Source organism: Homo sapiens, chromosome 16 (genome assembly GCF_000001405.40).
Source record: "Homo sapiens chromosome 16, GRCh38.p14 Primary Assembly".
NCBI lineage: Eukaryota > Metazoa > Chordata > Mammalia > Primates > Hominidae > Homo > Homo sapiens.
This window is the reverse complement of record NC_000016.10, coordinates 87554535-87578000: the sequence shown is the minus strand read 5'-3', so window position 1 is coordinate 87578000 and position 23466 is coordinate 87554535. Positions and strand designations below refer to the sequence as shown.

At 52.9% G+C, this 23466-nt stretch overlaps 5 annotated features.

The window, feature by feature from the left end:
- Positions 1118–1772: an enhancer, noted in NCBI's record as "H3K4me1 hESC enhancer chr16:87609835-87610489 (GRCh37/hg19 assembly coordinates)". NCBI's record gives its function as "activates a minimal SCP1, AML or CMV promoter by ChIP-STARR-seq in naive H9 embryonic stem cells {active_cell/tissue: H9 hESC(naive)}" and the evidence as "EXISTENCE:reporter gene assay evidence [ECO:0000049][PMID:30033119]".
- Positions 5666–6584: an enhancer, noted in NCBI's record as "H3K4me1 hESC enhancer chr16:87605023-87605941 (GRCh37/hg19 assembly coordinates)". NCBI's record gives its function as "activates a minimal SCP1, AML or CMV promoter by ChIP-STARR-seq in primed H9 embryonic stem cells {active_cell/tissue: H9 hESC(primed)}" and the evidence as "EXISTENCE:reporter gene assay evidence [ECO:0000049][PMID:30033119]".
- Positions 5666–6698: a biological region, named in NCBI's record as "Sharpr-MPRA regulatory region 12005".
- Positions 6404–6698: a silencer, noted in NCBI's record as "tiled region #12005; HepG2 Repressive non-DNase unmatched - State 4:PromP, and K562 Repressive DNase matched - State 4:PromP". NCBI's record gives its function as "represses a minimal TATA promoter and a strong SV40 promoter by Sharpr-MPRA in HepG2 and K562 cells {active_cell/tissue: HepG2 | K562}" and the evidence as "EXISTENCE:reporter gene assay evidence [ECO:0000049][PMID:27701403]".
- Positions 20393–20892: an enhancer, noted in NCBI's record as "H3K4me1 hESC enhancer chr16:87590715-87591214 (GRCh37/hg19 assembly coordinates)". NCBI's record gives its function as "activates a minimal SCP1, AML or CMV promoter by ChIP-STARR-seq in naive H9 embryonic stem cells {active_cell/tissue: H9 hESC(naive)}" and the evidence as "EXISTENCE:reporter gene assay evidence [ECO:0000049][PMID:30033119]".

Below are 23466 nucleotides of genomic sequence, written 5' to 3'. Positions count from 1 at the left end.
GGATTACAGGCGTCAGCCACCGCGCCCGGCCTATTTTTGAGACAAGGTCTTACTGTTGCCCAGGCTGGAGTGCAGTGGCATAATCACAGCTCACTGAAACCTCCTGGGCTGGAACCATCCTGCCTCAGCCTCTTGAGTAGCTGGGAGCACATTTTTAAATATATAATTCCAGCTAATTTTTTTAAATTTTTTATTTTTAGAGATGAAGTCTCTCCATGTTGCCCAGACTGGCCTCAAACTCCTGGGTTCAAGTGATCCTCTCACCTTGGCCTGCCAAAGTGCTGGGATTACAGGTGTGGGCCACTGCACCCGGCCTGATCAGTATTTCTTGATAACTGCTTTTTAAAGTATTTTAAAAGCTGAGGAGGGGTGGCTGGTGCCAGGGTGTGGAGGACAGGTTCGTTCAGTTGCAGTCTGTGCCTCACTGAGGGGTGGGAGGGGTAAGCCCCCATTCAGCTGGTAGGCCTCGAGACCCCCCAGTGGATGAGTGGGAGAGGGTACCTGCTGTTACCCAGGGAACACGAGATGCTAGTGGCTGCCTTGCAGGGGTTCAACTGCAACACCAGCCATTCCTCCCAGGGCGCTGTTGGCATATTGGGGTAGGCAGCATGAATCACTGTGTTCACCCCCACAGGCTGCCTGCCCCATAGATGCCCATGGTGACACCGAGTCCAGAAGGTTGCGATTGGAGAAAGAGGCTGGGCGTGGTGGCTTACGCCTGTAATCCCAGCACTTTGCGGGAGGCAGAGGATCCCAAGGAGGCTGAGGCAGGCAGATCACTTGAGGTTAGGAGTTCAAAACCAGCCTGGCCAACATGGTGAAACCCCGTCTCTACTAAAAACACAAAAATTAGCCAGGAGTGGTGGCGCCTGCCTGTAATCCCAGCTACTCAGGAGGCTGAGGCAGGAGAATCACTTGAACCCGGGAGGTGGAGGTTGCAGTGAGCCGAGATCACACCACTACACTCCAGTCTGGGTGACAGAGCAAGACTCCATCTCAAAAAAAAAAGAGATGGGGTCCTGCGGTCATGAGGGTGGGGGCCACCATCGCCCACACTGTCGCTCGCACCTGCTGTCTGGGTCACCCCCACCAAAGCTTTCTGCACCCAGCTCCGTCATGCACCCGACCAGCCTGCTGTCCACTCCCTGACATGGGGGAAGCTATCATATGAACTCCCCCAAGTCATAACCCCTGTACCTCTGAACGTGACTTTATTTGGTCATAACCCCCTGTAACTCTGAATGTGACTTTATTTGGCGACAGGGAGGTGATCAAATTAAAATGAGGTCATTAGGGTGGCCTGTAATCCCATATGACCAGAGTGTTTATAAAAAGGGGAAATTTGGACACAGACATGCCCTGAGAGAAGATGTGAAGAAACAGAGAGGAAAGGTGCCGGCTACAAGCCGAGGAGCGCGGCCTGGACCAGGTGCCCCCTCACTGGCCTGGGAAGGAACCAGCCTTGCCCATGCCTTGATCACAGCCTTCTGGCCTCCAGAGTGAGAGAATGATTCTTGTAGCTTAAGCCCCCGGCTGTGGCGTTTGTTATGGCAGCCCAGGGAAATTCATGCACTCATTGGCCAGGACTGATTCCTGCCGGCTGTGGGCAGGCGGTTGCTCGGAGAGGCTCGTTGATACCAGGGAACGCCTCCTTATGAGTCCAGGCTTCGAGGAAGCGGGCAGTCCCCCGGCTCCCCCTGCGGACTTCTCTCCCCTGTCATACCCAGCGTGGGCGTGACACCATCGTCTGTCCTCACACAAACCAAGACACTCGCTGGAAAAAAATACCAAGCCCATTCTGGTAACAGCATGATTCGATCTGGGGGACAGGATTTCCGTCTCCCGCCCCTCCAAACCCAGCTTGGGAATTTGAATAAATTGAGGCTTGCTGGAGGGCTTGTTGTTATGGAATTGGAGCAATGAGAAGGAAAAACCATGGAGATGGCTATTTTCTTCCTCTTTTTAAAAATTTAAATTAAATAGTTCATGCAGGGAATGCACACAGATTTGGAAGTATATCCTTAGAATTCAGACATGGGCCTTAAGATTTTCACTCTCACCTCTACAGTCTCACACTCTCTGCCTTCCAGAACAAGGAATCCTTTTCAGAGCCAGTTCAAGAATAGGCCACTAAATGAAAGTGGCTTTAAATTTAAATTGTAAATAATTTAGGTTGGGGGAAGAGAGGCTCCTACAGGTTTCTTTCTCTTTGTCCTGCTAAACATGTAGCACAGGGTTTGGCCAACTTTTCCTGTAAGGGCTGGACAGTGAAGATTTTTGGCTTTTGCACAAATGGTCTCTGTTGCAACCCCTGGGCTCTGCCATTGGAGAAACAGAAGAGCCATAAGTAATATGTCAATGCACAGGTGTGGCTGTGTTCCAATAAAACTTTATTTACAAAAGCAGGCCGCAGTGGGATTTGGCCCAAGGGACGTGGTTTGCCAAACCCTGATACAGCTCATCTAAGCTCGGAGGAACTCCAGTGTCCACCCGGATCCCGCTCTCTCAACCCTAGGGGAAAAAACAGCGTGACCCTGAGGCCCTGCTGGGTTTGCATCCTGCCTCCAGAGGTTCATTTCTGGGTGACTCTGGGTAGGTTATCGACTTCTCTGAGCTTCATTGATAAAAAGGAAATTGCCACAGTCCTCCTCTTTCTGGAGCGGAGCGTGGCTGGCATGTAAATATCGTTCAGGAAGGGGACCAGGGAGGCTCCTCCCTTAGGCTGGGGAGTTGGAGGTGTGGGAGCTGGAGAAGCTGGGAGGCAGTGGTAATTAACCAGGCGGCCCACTGGGGGCAGGAGGAAGGGATCAGTGCAGGGAGGAGGGAGCAGGCAGGAGCAGGCAGGGGGAGGCTCCTCGCCTCTCAGCAGAGTCTGGAGCCATCAGCCACTCTTTTTCTAATGCTTGTCTCCGCTCTCTCCTCCTCTAGACTCTGCTGTCCACATGGCAGGGACCAGGGTCATCCTCAGGAATGTACCCCTTAGCACGAGGTGGCTGCTCCTCGAATCTTGGTTGGATGCACAGATGGGAGATGGGAAAGTCGCTTTGCACAGGGAAAGTGGGTGTCCCTGCTGTCTTAGGGTGGGGTAGGCTAGGGGAGTGGCAAAGGGACCAGGGAGGGAAAAGCAACAGAACCACAAGATGCACAGCGTGGATAATATGTGGATCCTAATTTTAAGAAATCACATAAAAACATCACTGGGGGCTGGGTGCCATAGTTCACGCAGAGGCGGGAGGATCGCTTGAAGCCAGGAGTTCAAGACAGTAACATAGTGAGACTCCATCTCTACAAAAAAAATTAAGAATTAGCCCAGTGTAGTGGCACGCACCTGTGGTCCCATCTACTTGAGAGGCTGAGGTGGGAGGATTCACTTGAGCCTGGGAGTTTGAGGCTGCAGTGAGCTATGAATGCACCACTGTACTCCAGCCTGTGTGACAGAGTGAGACACTGTCTCAAAATAAAATAAAATAAAAATAAAAAATAGGTCGGGCATGGTGGCTCACACCTGTAATCCCAGCACTTTGGGAGGCCAAGACAGGCGGATCACCTGAGATCAGGAGTTCGACACCAACCTGGCCAACGTGGTGAATCCCTGTCTCTACTAAAAATGCAAAAATCAGCCAGGCATGGTGGCAGGCACCTGTAATCCCAGCTACTCAGGAGGGTGAGGCAGGAGAATCACTTGAACCCTGCGGAGGTTGCAGTGAGCCAAGATCACGCCACTGCACTCCAGCCTGGGCAAGAGAGCGAGACTGTCTCAAAAAAAAAAAAAAAAGACTGAGGACAGGTCTCACACTATGTTCTTACCACAAATAATGGGGACATGGGGAGTGTTCTGGAGGTGCCGGATGTGTTGATTTCCCTGATCATGGTGTTGGTATCACGGCTGTTTGCCGATGTCCAAACTCATCAAATTACGCATTAAATATGTGCAGATTTTTTTTTAAGACAGAGTCTTGCTCTGTTGCCCAGGCTGGAGTGCAGTGGCATGATCTTGGCTCACTGCAACCTCCACTTCCCAGGCTCAAGCAATTCTCATGCCTCAACCTCCTGAGTAGCTGGGATCACAGGTGCGTGCCATCGCGCCTGGCTAATTTTTGTATTTTTTTGTAGATACAGGGTTTCGCTATGTTGGCCAGGCTGTTCTTGAACTCCTGATCTCAAGTGATCCACCCACCTTGGCCTCTCAAAGTGCTGGGATTACAGGCCTGAGTCACTGTAGCTGGCCAGATTTCAATATATTAATTATATCTCAATAAAGCTTTTAAAAAAAAAAGCAGTGGCTGAGCAAAAAAAAAAAATTTAAAGCATTCGTCCATCCCCAAGGGTGCATCTCCCAGCTGGTAGTGTTCAACCCAACAGATCAACCTCCTTCTTTTTTTTTTTTTGAGATGGAGTCTCGCTCTGTCACCCAGGCTGGAGTGCAGTGGCGCTATCTCGGCTCACTGCAAGCTCCGCCTCCCGGGTTCACGACATTCTCCTGCCTCAGCCTCCCAAGTAGCTGGGACTACAGGCGCCCGCCACCACGCCCGGCTAATTTTTTATATTTTTAGTAGAGACGGGGTCAACCTCCTTCTTTACAGCAAATAACTTTACATGTCCATTGCTATCCTGAAATGAAATGCATGGAAACCTACAAAACACCTTCTTCAACTCCACATAATGCCCCAACTGTAATACGCAGCTGATGAGAAAGGAACAAACATAAATATAAAATAATGGGGTTTCCATGCCTCCCCGGGGAAGAGAGAACAGGGCTGTCATCTGCTTGCCACGGTGGCCCACAGTGGGCATGACAGCAAACGGCGGCACCCAGCCCCAGTGCAGCACCTGGAGCACTCACCTACCTTACCCCACTTGGCCACTGGGGATGTGGTTTTCCAAAGTGTGAAAAGCTCTGTTCTGAATCAAAGTTCTGAACACAATGCAATCTCCCCTCCATCGGCAAAATCCTTGCATTCCTGGTAACAGATGGAGTAAAACTGTGCAGTGCATGTTTGTGTGTACAATGAAGTTTGGTCCTAGATACACATGGTTCTGGACAGCTTTCTCACCTGAGTGAACATCCTAGAGGCAGGACCTGGCTGAAGGTCAGGGGGCAGGTGCGCCAGAGACTGCAGAGAACCAGGTGGGCCAGCTTCTCAGGGGCATCTTCCTGGGGAGGGGAGTGTGGGTGGGAACCAGAAGCGTTGGGCAGACCCCAGCCCAGGCAGCAGGGCCATGCCAGGGGGCTACACCTGTAACAGGAGCGAGGGCAGAGCTCTGGAACAGGACTTCGGGTTAAGTCCCAGCTCCAGCACCTGCACCTGTGGGACCTCAGAGAGACACTCAGCCTCTCTGAGCTTGTTTCCTTATTCGAAAAGCATAGCTTCCAAGAATCTCATTTCCAGGCCTCCCTGTGAAGTTTGCATGTGCTCTTGCCTGTGCCTTACTTACAGGCCGTGCGCTGTCCATGAGCCCCAGTGGGGTTGTGGTTATTGCTCGTAGGAGGCCGTGGGCAAGGCCAGAAGCCTGGAGGCCCTGTGAGGATCACGGCCTCATGAATCAGGTAGGAAGCTGCTGGAGAGAGAGATCTCAGAGTGTAAGGTGCACAAATATAGAACTGAAGGCATCGGCCGGGTGCGGTGGCTCACGCTTATAATCCCAACACTTTGGGAGGCTGAGGCAGGCGGATCACTTGAGGTTAGGAGTTCAAAACCAGACTGGCCAACATGGTGAAACCCCCGTCTCTACTAAAAATACAAAAATTAGCCAGGCGTGGTGGCAGGCGCCTGTAATCCCAGCTACTCGAGAGGCTGAGGCAGGAGAATTGCTTGAACCCGGAAGGCGGAGGCTGCAGGGAGCCGAGCCTGTCCTGCACTCTGTCACTGCACTGCAGCCTGGGTGATGGAGTGATACTCCATCCCAAAAAAGGAAAAGAACTGAGGGCATTAAAATGGCCTTTCCTGTCATGGGTCTTTCCTGGCCCAGCACAGCCCCACGGTGGCTCTCAGCCAAAAAATGACCTGGATCCGGGCTTTCCAGGACGTCCCCTGGCTCCTGCCTCATTCGTCTTCCCTCTGCTGGGGCTGCTCTGCTTGTCACCTCTGGTTAGATTTTTAAAATCCTGCCCACTCCCCACCACGAGGCCCCCAGGGTGGAACAGGCCTCACCAAGCGGCCAGCTGTCCTGTGGTTCACAAAGCAGCTTAAAACTCCAGTAATAGATGGCCTCGTCCAGGCCCGAGAATGTGACTCAGAAGAAAAATGAAGCTGGGTGTGAATGGCATTCAAGTGAGGGAAAGGCGGCCCGTCACCCAGCACTGTTCCCAGCAGCCTTGCCTCTGTCACTGGGCAGGAGTCACCCTCATGTAATGACGGTGCTCACCTTTCCCACCCTGCCTCCCCAGCCTCCAGGTGAAGCCATCCCAGGAGCTTGAGCACCTTGTGCTATATTGTCACCACCCTCCCGAGGGCGCCATAGAGGCCACACCAGACTATGCTGGCAGGACACGGCCACCACAGCCGGCATTTAATAAACGAGCTTTGGGCTGCCTCTGTGGCTGCAGCTTCTGACTGTAAGATTTCAATCTTCTTGATTGAATAAGTAAATGAATGAATTCATTCATTCGATAAATATTTGTTAAACTCCTGGTAAGTGTCAGTCCGTGAGCTCAAAGCTGAGCAAATAAAGGAGGGAAGGAGAACCAGTCTCCGTGCTTGGAGCCAACCCTCATGCCGATCACAATGAAGACGTCTGGCATTTTCCAGCAGCTGTTCCTTCTCCCTCCCCACCGCTGGGAGGCCCAAGGGCTCCGTGGACACAGGGCAGTCTCCGGCCAGGGTGGCTGGCCTCCACCACCAGGCATTCCTGGGCTCTGGAATAGAGACTCACATGGCCTCGGGGACAGCCACCACCCGGCAAATGAGCCTGCAGGATTTTTACCCAAAAAGAGCTGGTTGCTTTGCGGTTCATCGCAGCTTCCCCAGGGAGCTCAGGGCAGGGAGAGCCCTGAGCATCACTAGGTGTACCCTGTGCCCCGCTGATGGGCATGCAGAGACCCAGGATGGGGAGGGACTTGCCCAAGGTCACTCGGGAGTGAGGGGAAGGCTCTGGAACTCCCAGGCCTTGTCAGAACAAGGAATGCAGGGCTCGGGCCAGAAGGTCAGTGGGAAGCCCTGGGAGCTGCCTTTGAGGGTCTCCCATTTGGGCAGGAGACTGTGCTGGCGTGTCCACGGGGCCTGTCCTGCCCCCAGCATCCAGTGTTTGGCACCAAGCTCCGTCCCTGCTGCTGGCTGTGAGGCTGTGTGGCCTCCTCTGTGTGTTTATCTAAGGGGTGTTGCCCCTAGGAGCTTCTGTGTTCTCACGGGCAGGACCCAGAACCCCCTCCTCTTGTTCTGGGGAATTTCTCCACTCCAAAGGGAACTCTCTGGATTACAAGACACTAAAGACAAAGGGCCGTCTGAGGCCCCTTCTCCAACTGGCTGGAGTGGGCTTTGGGCACACATGGCCTTGGAACAGCCCATTGGGCGGCCTCTGTGAAATTCCCTAGAAATGATGAGACTTCCCTGCGCCCAGTCCCCACCCCGCACGGGGAGTTCACACCAATTGTTCTTCCCCGGGGACTCCTGCCAACCAGGGAACGTGACAGTTCACAGTGAGGGGCCCGAGGCTGTGGGCAGCAGGTCCCGCTGGGGACTCTGGGCAGGATGCCACCTTCAGATGCTGCCGTGGCCACAGCATTCGTGCCAGACCAGCAAGGGTGTCCTGGACACTGCCCAGATGCTGACCCCGTCATCAAAGCAGACACTGGACACTGCCCAGGTGCCGACCCCACCATCGAAGCAGACACTACCTTGTCCCCTCCCGCCCCCCAGCAAGAAGACGCCAAGCCCTGAGAGATTTGCCTGTGCTCAGCACTGTGTGGAGGAGCGGCATGTTTTCGTGGGCACAGAGACAGCTCTGGTGAGGATGTAAAATAGCGCAACTGCCACGGAAAGCAGTCTGGCAGTTCCTCAAACAGTTTAACCTAGAGTTATCACATTTTGTGCTCCCCGCCACACTGGATATCTACCCAAGGAAATGGAAAACATCTGTCCATATAAAAGCTTGCACGTGAATGTTCACAGAAGCCATGTTCACAATAGCCAAAAGGTGGAAGCAACCCAAATGCCCATCAAATGATAAATGGTTAAACAAAACATGGTCTATCCATGTGATGGAATATTACTCAGCCATGAAAAGGAACGGATCCTGACACATGCTACAATGTGCATGAACCTTGAAAATATGATGCTGGGTAAAAGAAGCCAAACCAAAGACAAATATTGCATGATTCAACTTGTATGAAATGCCCGAATCATAGACACAGAAAACCCGAGTGCTGAGGGATGGAAGGATTGGGGATTGACAGGTAGGGGTTCAGGAGTGATGAAAATGTTCCAAAACTGACTGTGGTGATGGCTGCACAACCCCATGAATCCACGAACTGCTCTTTAAAAAAACTTTAAATGGATGAATTGTATGGTATGTGAATTGTATTTCAATAAAACAGTTAAAAACAAAAGTTAATGGAAGGCAAGAATGTAGAACAACTGGAACTCTCCGATACAACTAGAGGGTCTTTACTTGCAGGACTTCGTAGAACTGGCAACATCTATGAAAGCTGACCACACACAGCCCATGACTTCAGGTCTCACTCCCAGGACTCAACAGATGTGAGTGCATTTGTCCACCAAGAGGCATATGCAAGAATATTCACAGCAGCATGAATGGTGTCAGCCCTAACCTGGGAGCAACCCACACAAATGAATACACTGATTTGCTCTATTTGTACCATGGAATATCAGGGAATACTATGCAGCAACGAACATGAATGAGCTAAAACAGCATACAACAGCGTGCATGACTTGCACAAACGTGGCAATGGGTGAAAGAAGCCAGGCACACAGAAAGCACATGCTGTCTAATTTCACTTATGGAAATCTCAGAGATAAATCTCTTTTTTTTTTTTTTTTTTGAGACAGAGTCTCACTCTGTCACCCAGGCTGGAGTGCAGTGGTGCAATCTCGGCTCACTGCAAGCTCCGCCTCCCGGGTTCACGCCATTCTCCTGCCTCAGCCTCCAGAGTAGCTGGGACTACAGGCGCCCACGACCACGCCCGGCAAATTTTTTGTATTTTTAGTAGAGACGGGGTTTCACCGTGTTAGCCAGGATGGTCTCGATCTCCTGACCTCGTGATCTGCCCGCCTCGGCCTCCCAAAGTGCTGGGATTACAGGCGTGAGCCACTGTGCCCAGCCTTTTTTTTTCTTTTTTTTTTTTTTTAAGATGAAGTTTTGCTCTGTCGCCAAGGCTGGAGTGCAGAGGCTTAATCTCGGCTCACTGCAACCTCCACCTCCCAGGTTCAAGCAATTCTCTTGCCTCAGCCTCCCAAGTAGCTGGAATTACAGGGACATACAACCACACTCAGCTAATTTTTGTATTTTTGGTAGAGACAGGGTTTCACGATGTTGGCCAGGCTGGTCTCCAACTCCTGACCTCAAGTGATCCATCCACCTCGGCCTCCCAAAGTGTTGGGATTACAAGTGTGAGCAGCTGAGCCCGGCCTAATCTCAGAGATAAAGCTGATTAATGGTCAGATTACTGGTTACTGTCAGGGAGTGGACAGTCTAGGAGGGGACATGAAAGGGGCTTCTGGGGGGTGGTAATGCTCTATTTCTTGACCTGGGTGCTGTTACATGGCTGTGTTTACCCTGTGAAAATTCAGCTCATGGCGCATGTATGACTCATGAGATTTTCGCATGTATGCCACACTTCCATTAAAACTCTACTAGTAGACGGCCGGGCGCGGTGGCTCACGCCTGTAATCCCAGCACTATGGGAGGCTGAGGCGGGTGGATCACGAGGCCAGGAGATTGAGACCATCCTGACTAACACGGTGAAACCCCGTCCCTACTAAAAATACAAAAAATTAGCCGGGCATGGTGGCAGGCATCTGTAGTCCCAGCTACTGGGGAGGCTGAGGCAGGAGAATGGCGTGAACCCAGGAGGCGGGGCCTGCAGTGAGCCGAGATCACGCCACTGCACTCCAGCCTGGGCGACAGAGCGAGACTCTGTCTCAAAAAAAAAAAAAAAGCAAAAAAACCCAACTCTACCAGTAGAAATATATTGGCCGGACGCGGTGGCTCATGCCTGTCATCCCAACACTTTGGGAGGCTGAGGCAGGTGGATCACGAGGTCAGAAGTTCGAGACCAGCCTGACCAACATGGTGAAACCCCGTCTTTACTAAAAATACAAAAAATTAGTTGGGTGTGGTGGCACACACCTGTAATCCCAGCTATTCAGGAGGCTGAAGCAGAAGGATCATTTGAACCCAAGAGGCGGAAGTTGCAGCGAGCCAAGATTGCGCCACTGCGCTCCAGCCTGGGCGGCAGAGCAAGACTCCGTCTCAAAAAAAATAAAAAATAAAAAGAAATACGTTTTGGCAGTTAATGAAAGAAAACATCCCAATGTCCTTCAATGGATGAGCAGATGAGCAGATAAGCTGTGGTCTCTCCATACAATGGAATAGGATTCAGCTGTAAGAAGGAACAAAGCATCAACACGCTACATCATGGATGGGCCCTGAAAACGCGTGCAAAGAGAAAAAAGCCACACACACAAACTCACACAGCGTGATTCCACTTACACGAAACCTCCAGCACAGGTAAAAGCCGACGAGGGGTGGTCAAGGAAGCGAGGGGACAGGGAGGGACTGCTCATGGGGACAGAGCTTCTGTGAGGGATGATGAGAAGTTCTGGAATTAAATACTGGTAACGGTGGCAACAACTCTGTGAACGCACAAATGCACACGTTAAAATACGAAAAATGGTGAAGTTCCTATTTAAGAAGAAGTTAACGCAGTGCCCAGCGGATAGCCCAGTATAAGAAGGGCCCAGACCCCTCATGGACAGGCCGCTCTTGACAACACCTCGGTGTGTATTTTTATTTGGGGTCTTCACTGTCTGCCAGGCTCTAGGATAAGCCTCTTTCCTACTGCCTTAGTCCATGTTCTGTCGCTTATAATAGAATACCTGAAACTGGGAAATTTACAAAACAAAGGAATTTATTTCTTACAGTTATGGAGTCTGAGAAGTTCAAGGTTGGGGGGAGCCTTCTTGCCGGTGGGAGCCCTCTGTGGCACCCCGAGGTGGCGCAGAGCATCCCCTGGTGCAGGGACTGAGTGTGCAAGCTCAGGTCTTTCGAAGCAACAGTCCGCTTCCATGAGAACCCACTCCTCTATTAACCCATTAACCCAGGAATGGCACAGTCCTCACGACCCAATCACCTCTTAAAGGCCCCACCTCTCAACACAGCTGCACTGGGAATTAAGTTTCAACATGCAAGGCTGGGCGCGGTGGCTCACACCTGTAATCCCAGCACTTTGGGAGGCCGAGGTGGGTATCCACCTGAGTTCGGGAGTTCGAGGCTAGCCTGACCAATATGGAGAAACCCCGTCTCTACTGAAAATACAAAAAAATTAGCCGGATGTGGTGGTGCATGCCTGTAATCCCAGCTACTCGGGAGGCTGAGGCAGGAGAATCGCTTGAACCCAGGAGGTGGAGGTTGTGGTGAGCTGAGATCATGCCATTGCACTCCGGCCTGGGCAACAAGAGTGAAACTCCGTCTCAAAAAAAACAAAAACAAAAAAAAAGTTTCAACATGCGTTTCAGAGGGGACAAACATTCAAACCTCAGCACCTACAATCTCTCGTTTCATTCTTGACACTGTCCTGGAGGCATTGCTGTCACCACCCTCATTTTACAGAGGAGGAGTCAGATGCCCAAAGAAGCCAAGCTTCCTGTCCAGTCACAGAGGGCAGAGCCAGACTTGAACCATTCTGCCAAAGGCCACACTTTAGCTGGGCTGCTGCCGCTCTTGGTCTATACAGATGCCCGGCTTCCTACCACCGATGGGAGATCAGGACTAGGGTTCCTCAATCCACAGCTCACCTGGAGTGGCGGCAGGGTGAGCCACTTGCTGACAGGTAGCAAGAAGATGGGTGGATTGTACGGCCCCCGGCAGAACACCACCTCCCCACCAAAGCCTTCCCCTGAGGGGAGGGACAGGGAGGAAGGCGGGACTTGAGCCAATTCCTTAAAATAAATGCCCCTACACACACACGCACACACACACACACACACGCACAACGATGAGGATGCCGATGGCCGTGGCAGCATTTAGTTCATGTACAGCCCTCTACACCCCAGGCCTGCGGCAGACAGTTCCTGCCTCCTTCCCTTTGATTCCCACAGCAGCCTTGAAGCAGGTCCTAGTGTTTTCTCCATTTATAGTTGAGGATACTGAGGCCCAGGGAGGCTCAGCCTGCCATGCAGAGTGGGGATTCCAGCCAGACTTGGACTCCAGAGCCCCCATGCGACACCACTTGCCAACAGGTAACCTGGGTCCCAAGTACTCCCCTGCGATGGCAAGGTGGGGTCAGCACGGCAAGCCTTGGAACCCTCCCCAGGTGGCAGGTTACATAATGAGAGAGAAGTCAAGCTGCAGGCTCAAGGTCAATGTCGAAAAACAAAACTCTCCATAATTCCCCAGGAGGTGGTGGTAGGTGTTCAGAGGCCACCACCTGTGAGGACCAAGCTGGCACACTTCCGGAGAGGCCACCAGCATTCTGGCCGGAACTGGAGATGCCCCGCAGGGCTGGGCACGACTGCGTGCGGAAGCAGCGGGCAGGAGTCAAGCTGGCCCTGGCCTGGACTAGTCTCCTCCAGCAGGGAGCAGGTAGGAGCCCAGGACTAAGGTCATAGTAAGAGGCGGCCACCCGGGCAGGTGCTAGCCACGGGCCACAGGGAGCTTTTTCAGATCCGGGTTCACGCTCACGAACGAGGAACCTGCCCTAACAGAAGCAGGCCTTGCCTGGCCCCGGGAGGGTTCATTTAGTCATTCAACAAGTAGTTACTGGGTGTTGTGATGGTCAATTTTATGCATCACATTGGGTGGGCGATGGCGCCCACAAGTTTGTCAAATGTTATTCTGGATGTTTCCATGAGGGTGTTTTGGAATGAGAGGAACATTTTGATCGGCGGACTTCCAGTAAAGCAGGCTGCCCTCCAGAACATCGGCTTCTTCCAGTCAGTGGAACAAAAAACACAGAGCAAAAAAACTGATATTCCCCAAGCAAGAAGGAATTCTGCCAGCAGACGACCCGGGACTTGAGCTGCAACATCAATGCTTCCCCAGGTTGTCAGCCTGGTGGCCCACCCTGCAGACTGTGGACTTGTCAGCCTCCACAATCACTTGAGCCAATTCCTTAAAATAAATGCCTCTACACACACACACACACACACACACACAAATGCACACACACGCACGTGCACACACGCACACACCCCAACACATACACGCATGTGCACACACACAAATGCACACACACGCACGTCCACACACACACCCACACCCACACACACACATGCATGTGCACACACCCCAACACACACACAATCCACACACATGCACGTGCACACACCCCAACACACACGCACACACATGTACATACACGCACGTGCACACACGCACATTCCAACACACGCACGCACGTGCACACACGCACACACCACAACACACGCAGTGCACACCCACACACCCCAATGCGCACACACGCACACACCCCAACACACACGCACACACACAAATGCACACACACGCACGCGCACACACCCCAACACCCATGCGCACACACATGCAGGTGCACACATGCACACACCCCAACACAAATGCACACACACGCACACACCCCAACACAAGCACGCACACAGGCACACACGCACGTGCACACCACGTGCACACACGCACACACCCCAACACACGCACACAAATGCACATACATGCACGTGCACACAAGCACACACCCAACACACACAAATGCGCACACACGCATGTGCACACACGCACACACCCCAACACACGCACACACAAATGCACACACATGCCCGTGCACACACGCACACACCCCAACACACGCGCACACACACGCATGTGCACACACACACCCCAACACACACGCACACACAAATGTGCACACGCACACACCCCAGCACACACATGAACACACACGCATGTGCGCACACGCACACACCCCAACACACACGCGCACACACAAATGCACACGCATGTGCACACATGCACACACACAAATGCACACACATGCATGTGCACACACGCACACACCGCAACACACCCACTCTTTTGGTTCTGTTTCTCTGGAGAACCCCAATAGAGACACCTACTCCCTGAAAGGGCTGGAACTCAGAGGGTCACCCAGCCCCTACAGCCTCAGTCTGCCCTGTCTGTTAAAGGCGGGTAACAGCACCAGACCTTCAATACGCTGCAAGACCAAACAGGACAGGCCAAGTGTGGTGGCTCATGCCTGTAATCCCAGCACTTTAGGAGGCTGAGGTGGGCGAATCACTTCAGGTCAGGAGCTTGAGACCAGCCTAGCCAAAATGGTGAAACACCGTCTCTACTTAAAAAACACAAAAAGTAGCCAGGCGTGGTGGCACGTGCCTGTAATCCCAGCTACTCAGGAGGCTGAGGCAGGAGAATTGCTTGAACCCAGGAGGCAGAGGTTGCAGTCAGCCAAGATTGCTCCATTGCATTCCAGCCTGGGTGACAGAGCAAGACTCTGTCTCAAAACAAACAAACAAACAAACAAACAGGACAGAGCAGCTGCAAAGGCTTTGTGGGCCCGGGAGGCCAAGGCTGTCTGCCAGGTGCAGGGTCCTCCGGAAGCGCTGTGTGACCTAGACCACGGGACTGCACCTCTCTGGGCTTGCATTTCCTTGTCTGTGAAATGGGGTGGTGATAGTTTGACCTCATGGGTAGCGATCCTCCAGTGAGGACCAAACAGAACCGAATGTGTGCAGCAGGTGTAGAGGTGTGCCCACCCATAGAGGTGCCCAAGAAACTGCATCTGGATATAAATCTGTAGTTAGTCAAGCCAGGGACTTTCTGCATCCCAATCACCTGGGAGCTTGTCTAAAAATGCAGGTTGAGGCCAGGCACAGTGGCTCATGTCTGTAATCCCAGCACTTTGGGAAGCCGAGGCGGATGGATCACCTGAGGTCAGGAGTTTGATACCAACCTGACCAACATGGAGAAACCCCGTCGCTACTAAAAATACAAAATTAGCCGGGCGTGGTGGCGCATGCCTGTAATCCCAGCTACTTGGGAGGCTGAGGCAGGAGAATCGCTTGAAGCTGGGAAGTGGAGGTTGCAGTGAGCTGAGATCACACCTTTGCACTCCAGCCTGGGCAATAAGAGCGAAACTCCGAATCAAAAAAAAAAAAAAAAAAAATGCAGGTTGCTGAGCTCCTTCTGACCCACCAGGTTTCAGTCTCTGGGTAACAGAGCCCGGGATCTGCATCTGAAGCACATCTCCGGCTGACCAAGAGGCATTTTTTACAGAGGGGCAGCTAGGACCCTGCATGCAGACAGGGCTGTGCTCTCTCTAAATGCGCAGCAGCAGGCCTCCAACCTGGGCCGAGCTGAGTTGGGCTGGCGCTGAGTTCTCGGCCACAAACAAACATTGCCTGATAATGAGCTACCTCATTACTTCCCAGACTGGCACCCCCCTCTGCCACCATCTGCCATCTCACCTGTCACCTGGCACGGCCCCCATCCTCCCGCCAGCAGGAAGCAGGGCCCTGCTGCCTCGAACCTCCTTCCACCAAGTCGTGCCTGCCTCTGCTCCCACAGGGGGCGGGGGGGGGGGGGGGTCCTGCACCCAGGCCGTGCCACAGACATGAGCTGGGGGTGCGGATGAGGGGACAAGCAGTTGGCTCCCCTGGGCACGTTCTCACTTGGTTCCTTGGCTGATGCTGAATCTATTAGGCAGGGAACTGGGTTACAGAGTGCAAATTTCCTGAGGTGCAAAGGTGCCAGCCCCAGCTCCATGCTCACTTCCTACAGAGCTCCAGCTCTGTCCAGCGCACCAGGGTGCCGCTGAGAAATGACCTTCTCTGTGCCTGGCAGGGCCATGTGCCCAGCGCTGCCAGTGAGACCTGCAGGTCAGTTCAGGGGCTTCTGGAAAAGCCTTTCCCTCGGCTGTACCGTACACTGCTCTCCCTCCAGCCTGGTACACCTCGTGACCTTGGCGGTGGAGCCACCGTCTTGCAGTCAAGAGGACAGGAGTGGGTGAGGTTGCTGTTCCAGTGGAGCTGCTGCCTGGCTAGGACTGCCTGTGCCTGGATGCCACCCATCCCGGGACGAAACCCTCGCCTTAGCGCACTGAGCCCTGTGTCTGGTTCTGTGGCCCAATGCCACACGCAGCCCCGGCTGGCTCAGGAATAAAGTGAAAATAAAGTGAGACATGTCCCTCACAGCCCTGTCCCGCTCCCAGCTTCCTAGAGGCAAGCAATGTGACCACTTTCTTGGGGTCTTTCCAGAAATTCTGGATGAGTAGATAACCACATGATTGTATGTTGTTTTGCTTTTGAGCCCAAATGGTGGCATAGAGCATGCAGACCATGCTGTCTGCCCTCGTACCTTCTACCAGACGATGCACCTAGATGTCCTCCACAGGGCCGTTACACTGGCTGCGCATCACTGCGCGGTGTCAGTCACCTTAATCGGTTTAACCCGTCCCCTGCCGATGGTCGTTTCCAATCCTTAGGAGCAAACGCTTTGGCAATGATTTTTAAAGGTACTATTTGGACAGATGTTGACGAAAGATGAAGGCGCCCTGTGAAAACCAGGCTCTGAGGCTCAGCCAGAAGGCCAGCAAGGAGGCGTCCCTTCTGATTTCCTTCTCCAACCAGGGCTGGGCTCGGCCCTTCCCAAGCGTAGACCCACCCCAGGATTGGCCCCACCCTCTGGACCTCCCTTAGCTCCCAAAGGCCTGGCCCCACCCCTACTTGGCCCTGCCCAAGGGACAACTGGCTCCTCCCTCAAGCATGGCCCCACCTCCAGGAGTCCTGGCCCCACCCAAAGGCCTAGCCCTGCCCCTTGAGGTCTGGCTTCTCCTCCAGGCCTAGCTCCAGCCCCAAGATCCTGGCACCTACTCCGGTCCTAGCCCCACCCCTAGGAGACGGGGTTCCACCCCAAGGAGATCTGGTTCCTCCCACAGTCATGGCCTCATCCCCAAGCAAAGCACCACCCCAGGAGGCCTGGCCCCACCCCTTGAGGTCTGGCTGCTGCTCCAGGCTTGGCCCCATCCCCAGGAGACCTAGTTCCACCTCAGGGAAATCTGGATTCTCCCCTCAGTTATGGCCCCAACCCCAGGGGACGTGGGTTCTCTGCAGGAGCCTGGCTCCGCCCCCAGGCCTAGCTCCACCCTAGGAAGCCTGGCTCCACCCCCAGGAGACCTCGTTCCACCCCCAGGAGATATGGCTCCTCCCCCAGTCATGGCCCCACCCCGGGAGGTCTGGCTCCTCCTCCAAAACCCTGGCTCCGCCCCCAGGCTCTTTCTCCCTCACTGGGTCCAGCCCCCACGGCCTAGTTCCCGGGCTGCTGAAACTGCCTGCCTGCTAGTCTTTTCGTCCCCACTCCTGCCCCCTTCTCACTCCCCATCCATGCCACTCACTCTTCTTAAAACCCTCCAGGGGCATTGCGCCCCTGGGGTGAGGACCAAGCCCCAAGACTGGTTCTGGGGCTTTGGGATACTTGCCTCCCTGGCTTTTCTGTGACTACACACATGCTGCTTCCAACCCCGCCCCTGCTGCGCCCTGCTGCCCAGGGCGCCTCTACCCTGCAGACCCTGCTTCCAACGGCAGGCCTCTTCTATTGCCCGGCGCCCCCCTCCTCTGCAGAGCTTAGAATTCTAAGAGCTGACGACGTCCACCGCACGCTCGCATTTTGCTTGGCACGTTTCCTGGCATTGTCCGTCTCACTTAATCCTCAAACCGCTTAGGGAAGTCAGACCATTGTTACTCTCGCCCCAGAAGAGGAGACAGGGGCTGTTTGCATCCATGTCCCCTGGGCCCAGCACATGGGGTTTTGTTAGTTGAAAGAATGCGTAAATGGGGTGGGCAAAAGAAGAAAAAGAGGCAAAGACGATTCCAGTTTCCATGGCAATGGAAAGGCTACAGGACCATGAACAGAGGGGACTGAGGAGGGAGGTGCCCTGGGGAGCAGGATCAACCCTGGAATTTCAAGGTCCAAGGGACCGTAGGTTTCCTCTAATCCAGATGTTCTCTCCTGGGGTCAAGTTCACCCCCAGGGAACATTTGGTGATGACGGGAGGCATTTTTGGTTTTCATTTTGCTTAGGGGGTGGGTGCTACTGGCATATAATGGATTGAGACCAGAACTATTGCAGGATGCCCTGCGGTGCACAGGTCAGCCTCCATAACAGAGTTATCCAGCCCAAAATATCAACAGCGCAGAAGTTGAGAAGCCCTGATGTAGTTTAACCCTGTTCTGGGTTAAATTTTCTCTACAACATTCTCCCACCCCCACCAGAGCTTCTTTCAGTCTTTGCTTAATCACTTCCAGTGATGGCGAGCTCACTACCTCTACAGGCAGCTGGTCCAAGGTGATGAGCTTGCACCAGTGCCAGAGCTGGTGAGACACCCAGGGGAAGTTAAGCAAAAGCCTCAACAGCCAGACAAGCAAGTGCTTGGCTGTCACTGAAGGGCTTCAGGAGGAGCAACCCCTCCCCGCCATCCCGCCCCACCACACACACACCCCCCAACTTCAGGCTGTCCTTAGATTCTCCTCCATAGAGGGGTCTCCAGAAACCAGGGGCCCGGGAGGAGTTCAGAGGGTCCTGTTAGTTCTTGCCCTAGGATATCTCAGCCTGGAGCGGCAGGGTGGGAGTAGGGAGAGGCAAGAAGGAGGCAGGACTTGGCCACCTTAATTTCTAGAAGTAAAATTAAGTTTCTGAAATATGAAAGCCTGATTAATGATTTGCATGTGGAAGTATTTAGGGGGAAATGTATGTATTCTGAAACCCATCGAAAAATAGAATGGATGGGTAGATGGAGTAATGGGTGGATGGGTGGATGAGTAGATGAATAGATGGATGGGTGAATGAATGCGTGGGTGGGTAGGTGGATGGGTGAATGGATGGATGAGTAGATGGATGGATGGGTGAATGATGGGCAGGTGAATAGGTGAATGGATGGATGGATGGATGGATGAATTGATGGGTGGGTGGGTGGAGGAATGGGTGGATGGATGGGTAGATGGATGAATGGATGGATAACTGGATGGATGGGTGAATGGATGGATGGGTGAATGGATGAATTGATGAGTGGGTGGGTGGAGGAATGGGTGGATGGCTGGCTGGCTGGCTGGATGGATGGATAGGTGGATGGATGGACGGATGGATGAATGGGTGAGTGAATGGTCTAATGGTTGGATGGGTGGGTGAATAAATGCACAGATATGTGATCAAGCAAATATGGAATATTTTTTCTTGTTGTATGATGAAGCCTATGTCACAGATAAGGAAACAAGGGCCAGAAAGGTTAGGGGAATCACTCAAGGTCACCCAGCTAGTGAATCATGGGGCCAGGATTTGCACCTGGACTGGTTTTGCAGAGCCATTTCTGCACACCCCTCTGGAACTCACCTCTCCCATTGGTAGTTATTGAGGGGCATGGCTGCTCCAGGGTTTATATGGGAGAATCGTCCCGGCAGCAGCCTCACCAGAAGGGTTTGTCTTGAGGCTGCATTTGCAGGGCACTCTGTACAACAGCCTCGATGGTACCAATGGGAATAGTGAGATGGGAACAGGTTAAAGGTGTAAACTTAGGGAAATCAGATGCTGTTCCTGACCAAGAGCTCCTTTAGATGCCAGAACAAGAGCAGTGCGTGGAGACAGGCAGGCCCTGCCCTCATGGAAGTGGCACTCTATTTTCCACCTCCTCATTATTATTTTACCAGCAGGTTCTAAAGCAAGGGTTCTTAACCCTTTTCATGCCATGGATCCTTTTGCCATTCCATTGAAGCCTGTGGATCCCTGCCCAGAATAATGTTTTAAATGCATAAATAAATGCATAGACTATAATCAAAGCCAGTTACGTATATAGCTCTAGATGAGATTCAGTGATAGGGGTTTCTTTATAGCACATTAAATAACCAGCTCTAACCTTCCCATCTCCTCTGCTAGAGGTGGGCCTCTGTGGGGCGGTCAGCTGCTGTGGAATCCTGCAATTCTGGTTTAGTGCATTAACCCCAAGGGGTCAGATGGACCTGGGTTCGAATAGCAGTTCACAAGCCGGGGACCCTGAGTAATGACATCCCCCAGCCTGGCTTTTCTCATCTGTAAAGTGGGGGTGATCACGGTGCCTGCCTGGAAGAGGAGGTAAAGACAGTGCTGCTATGAGATGTCTGTCTGGACACTAGCTGCGGGGTCCCTATCGAGGTCTCTGTGAACAGCAAAGTCACAGCTGACTGATCCCCCTGAGTCCAGGATCTGTGTGTGTGAGTTAAAGGTTGGTGAAAACAAACATATAAATTTTTCTTGCTAGGTTCATGGGCCCCCAAAGTCCTCCATGAGTCCCACGGAAATCCCTGCCCCTGGGGGAATCAGACATCCACTGCCTGCACCAGCAGACACTCTTGGCCTGTCCTTGTCCTCCAAGCAGTGGGAACTTTTAAACCTCTTGAGCCCAAGTGACTGCAAGAATGTCCAGGCTGTTAGAGGGCAATGACACCCGCCCCTCCCAACCCCCACGGGCCAGCAGGCTGATGTTTTGCTTTCTGTTCAGCCTGGAAGGGAAGAAGGGTCAGCCCTGAGCCGAGGACAGGCCTGTCAGGGTCCCTCAGACCTTGAGCTGGCAGCTGGGGAGAAGCGAGGCTGTTTTTGTGCCTGCTGAGTCCCTGGGGCCAGCCAGCCAGGAAGGCCACCCAGGGCCAGGCCCCTCTACTCACCAGCCAGACAGCTGTTTTCTTGAAAGTCCTGGCAGGATGGAAAAGCTCTGGCCTGGCCGGGAAGTGGAGACATTACCCAGCTGAGTGATCCCAGCTGTGGCTGGGGCCCTAGGCGTCTCTGATGTGGTCCGAGGCTGGGTGTCTGCCTTACCCATGGGGGAAGGAGTGTTGCCCACTCACCTCCCTGCCCCTGGGGCCCTGGCATCCAGCCCTGCTGCTCCTGCCCGGGCCAGAGGGGAAAATCGAGGGCACTCGGGTAGGGGAACAACCAGGCAAATGGCAGGGGCCGTCCAGATTCCTGGGCGGGGAGGAGATTTTGCTGACCAGAGAGGAGCGGCCCTTCTGAGGAGACGCAAGCCTCGCGCAGCCTGTGCCACCGGAGTTTAGCAGGGTTCAAAGCCTGTTACTGGCTGAGCGGTAGGGGGCCACTCCTGTAACCTCTAGCATCCTTTCGGTGGGGATCGTAGGGCATTCAGTCCTAAGAGCGAGCAGGTGCGACAGAACCCGCATGGGGTTGGGGAGAAAAGTGCGCCAGCGCTAATTAACAACAGTTGCCCTCTGGGCCCCGGCTTCCCCCATTGTAAACTGGGAAAGCCGGCCTCTAGAACTGACCTGACCCCTCCCTCTGCCCTGGAAACAGAGCCCAGCCTCCTCCTTGTCCAATCATTGAGCCTCCTGTTCTCCTTTAAAAGCTCATTTGGGATCAGGTGCAGTGACTCACACCTGTAACCCCAGCACTTTGGGAGGCCGAGGCGGGAGGATCGCTTGAGTCCAAGAGTTCAAGCCTGAGCAACATGGCAAAACTCCATCTCTACAAAAAATACAAAAAGTAGCCGGGCATGGTGGTGCATGCCTGTGGTCCCAGCTACTTGGGAGACTGAGATGGGACGATCGCTTGAGCCCAGGAGGTCAAGGTTGCAATGAGCTGAGATTGAGCCACAACACTCCAGCCTAGGAGACAGAGCGAGACCCTGTCTCAAAAAACAAAAACAAAAACAAAAACAAAAAAAGCACTGTTTGGTTTAGTTTTGTGCATGGAATGTGGAGAAAGAACAAGAGCATCACCCCCCACGTGGCCTCCACCCCATCGAAGTCCAACTCCTCTGATCCATCCCAGGTGGGGCTGCTTCCCCTCACACACATCCTCACTCATCATCACACCAAACAGACACTCACAGCGGGCACCGGACTGCGTTTCCCACCTCATGTTGTTCCATTAGGCACCAGTGCACGTTACGCTGTCATTCTCGTAAACGCTGCTTGTCCTTGCAACATTATTTATTTATTTTATTTATTTATTTATTGCTAAATAGCTGTTTCTCTCATTGTGAGAGCCGTACATACTCATTGCAAAATATTCAGAAGATCGAAAGTGTAACGAGAGGAGGGAGGGCAGGAAGCCGCCATCGTCTCATGACCCAGGAATCATCACCGCGAGCCCCGTGGTGCGTGGATTGCCAGATCGTGATTTTCAAAACTCTCCACATAAATGTATTGATTGATTGATTTCCAAATTTAAGATCATACCTACAGATCTGCTTGCCGCTATATATATTTTTACATCATATGCATGGGTATGCACAAGTATAAGCATACACTGATATATATTCACACTATACATCTACGCATATAATGTTTTTATTTCATTTTATACTCGTACACTTCCACTGAGATTAGGACAGCGAGGATACTAAAATATGTCACCTTTAGAATTTGTGGACACACACGGGCATCTTTTCAGATGTGGCGCTGTCTTTCTGGCTTGCCCCTATGTGAGGCCTCTCCTGCTAGCCCCGCCTCATCCAATCTCCTCTCTTTTCCACCTGCCCCATGCTTTGGGCGCTGACCTACCCCACCCCACGGACTCTCTGCCTTTCAGTTGGATTTGCCCAACAGGAGACTGGGACAGAGCAGAGCGTGGGAGGAGAGCGGGGTGTGCCTACCCACTGTCTCCTCCTGGACGCTGGCGATGGGCGGGAGCCTCCTTCTCTTCTGAAAGCCTCATTTCTGTTTGGGCCTACGGGTGGTCCCAGCTTCCCTCTTTCCAGTCCTGTGCTGCTTCCTATCCTTCGACAACCTCCTTTCACCCCCTCCTCAACACACCTTGATAACCCGCCCCTTCACTAGGTCCTTGAACTTGCCCGTCTGTTTCTAATCTAGCCCTGTCACTGCATTCCGTTCTGTGCAAGTTCATCGGTTCATGTCACCCAGCCTCTACGGAGTGACCGTGAGTGGTTTCCGACTTTTCGCAATAATTGTGAAACCCCGTTACTCTTGTTTCTTCATGCTTGCCCTTGTGCCTGTCTTTGGGATAAATTCTGGGAAGTGAAATTGTGGGGTTCCAGGATAGGCACATTTTAACATTTCTAACCATCGCTGTCTCCTTTTTTAAACCATCTCTTTTGATGATCCCACAATATTCCATCTAGAGAAAACGGAATCATTTATTCTACCATCTCCTCTTGTTGGACGTGTAAGTTGCTTCCAATATTTTCTATTGTGAATAACACTATGATGAGCATCTTTACGTGTGAAGCTTCTTCTGTACCCAGGATTGCTTCCTGGCTGTGTAGTTTTGTTGAATCGGCTCAGAGAGGACACACGGGGACCTTTA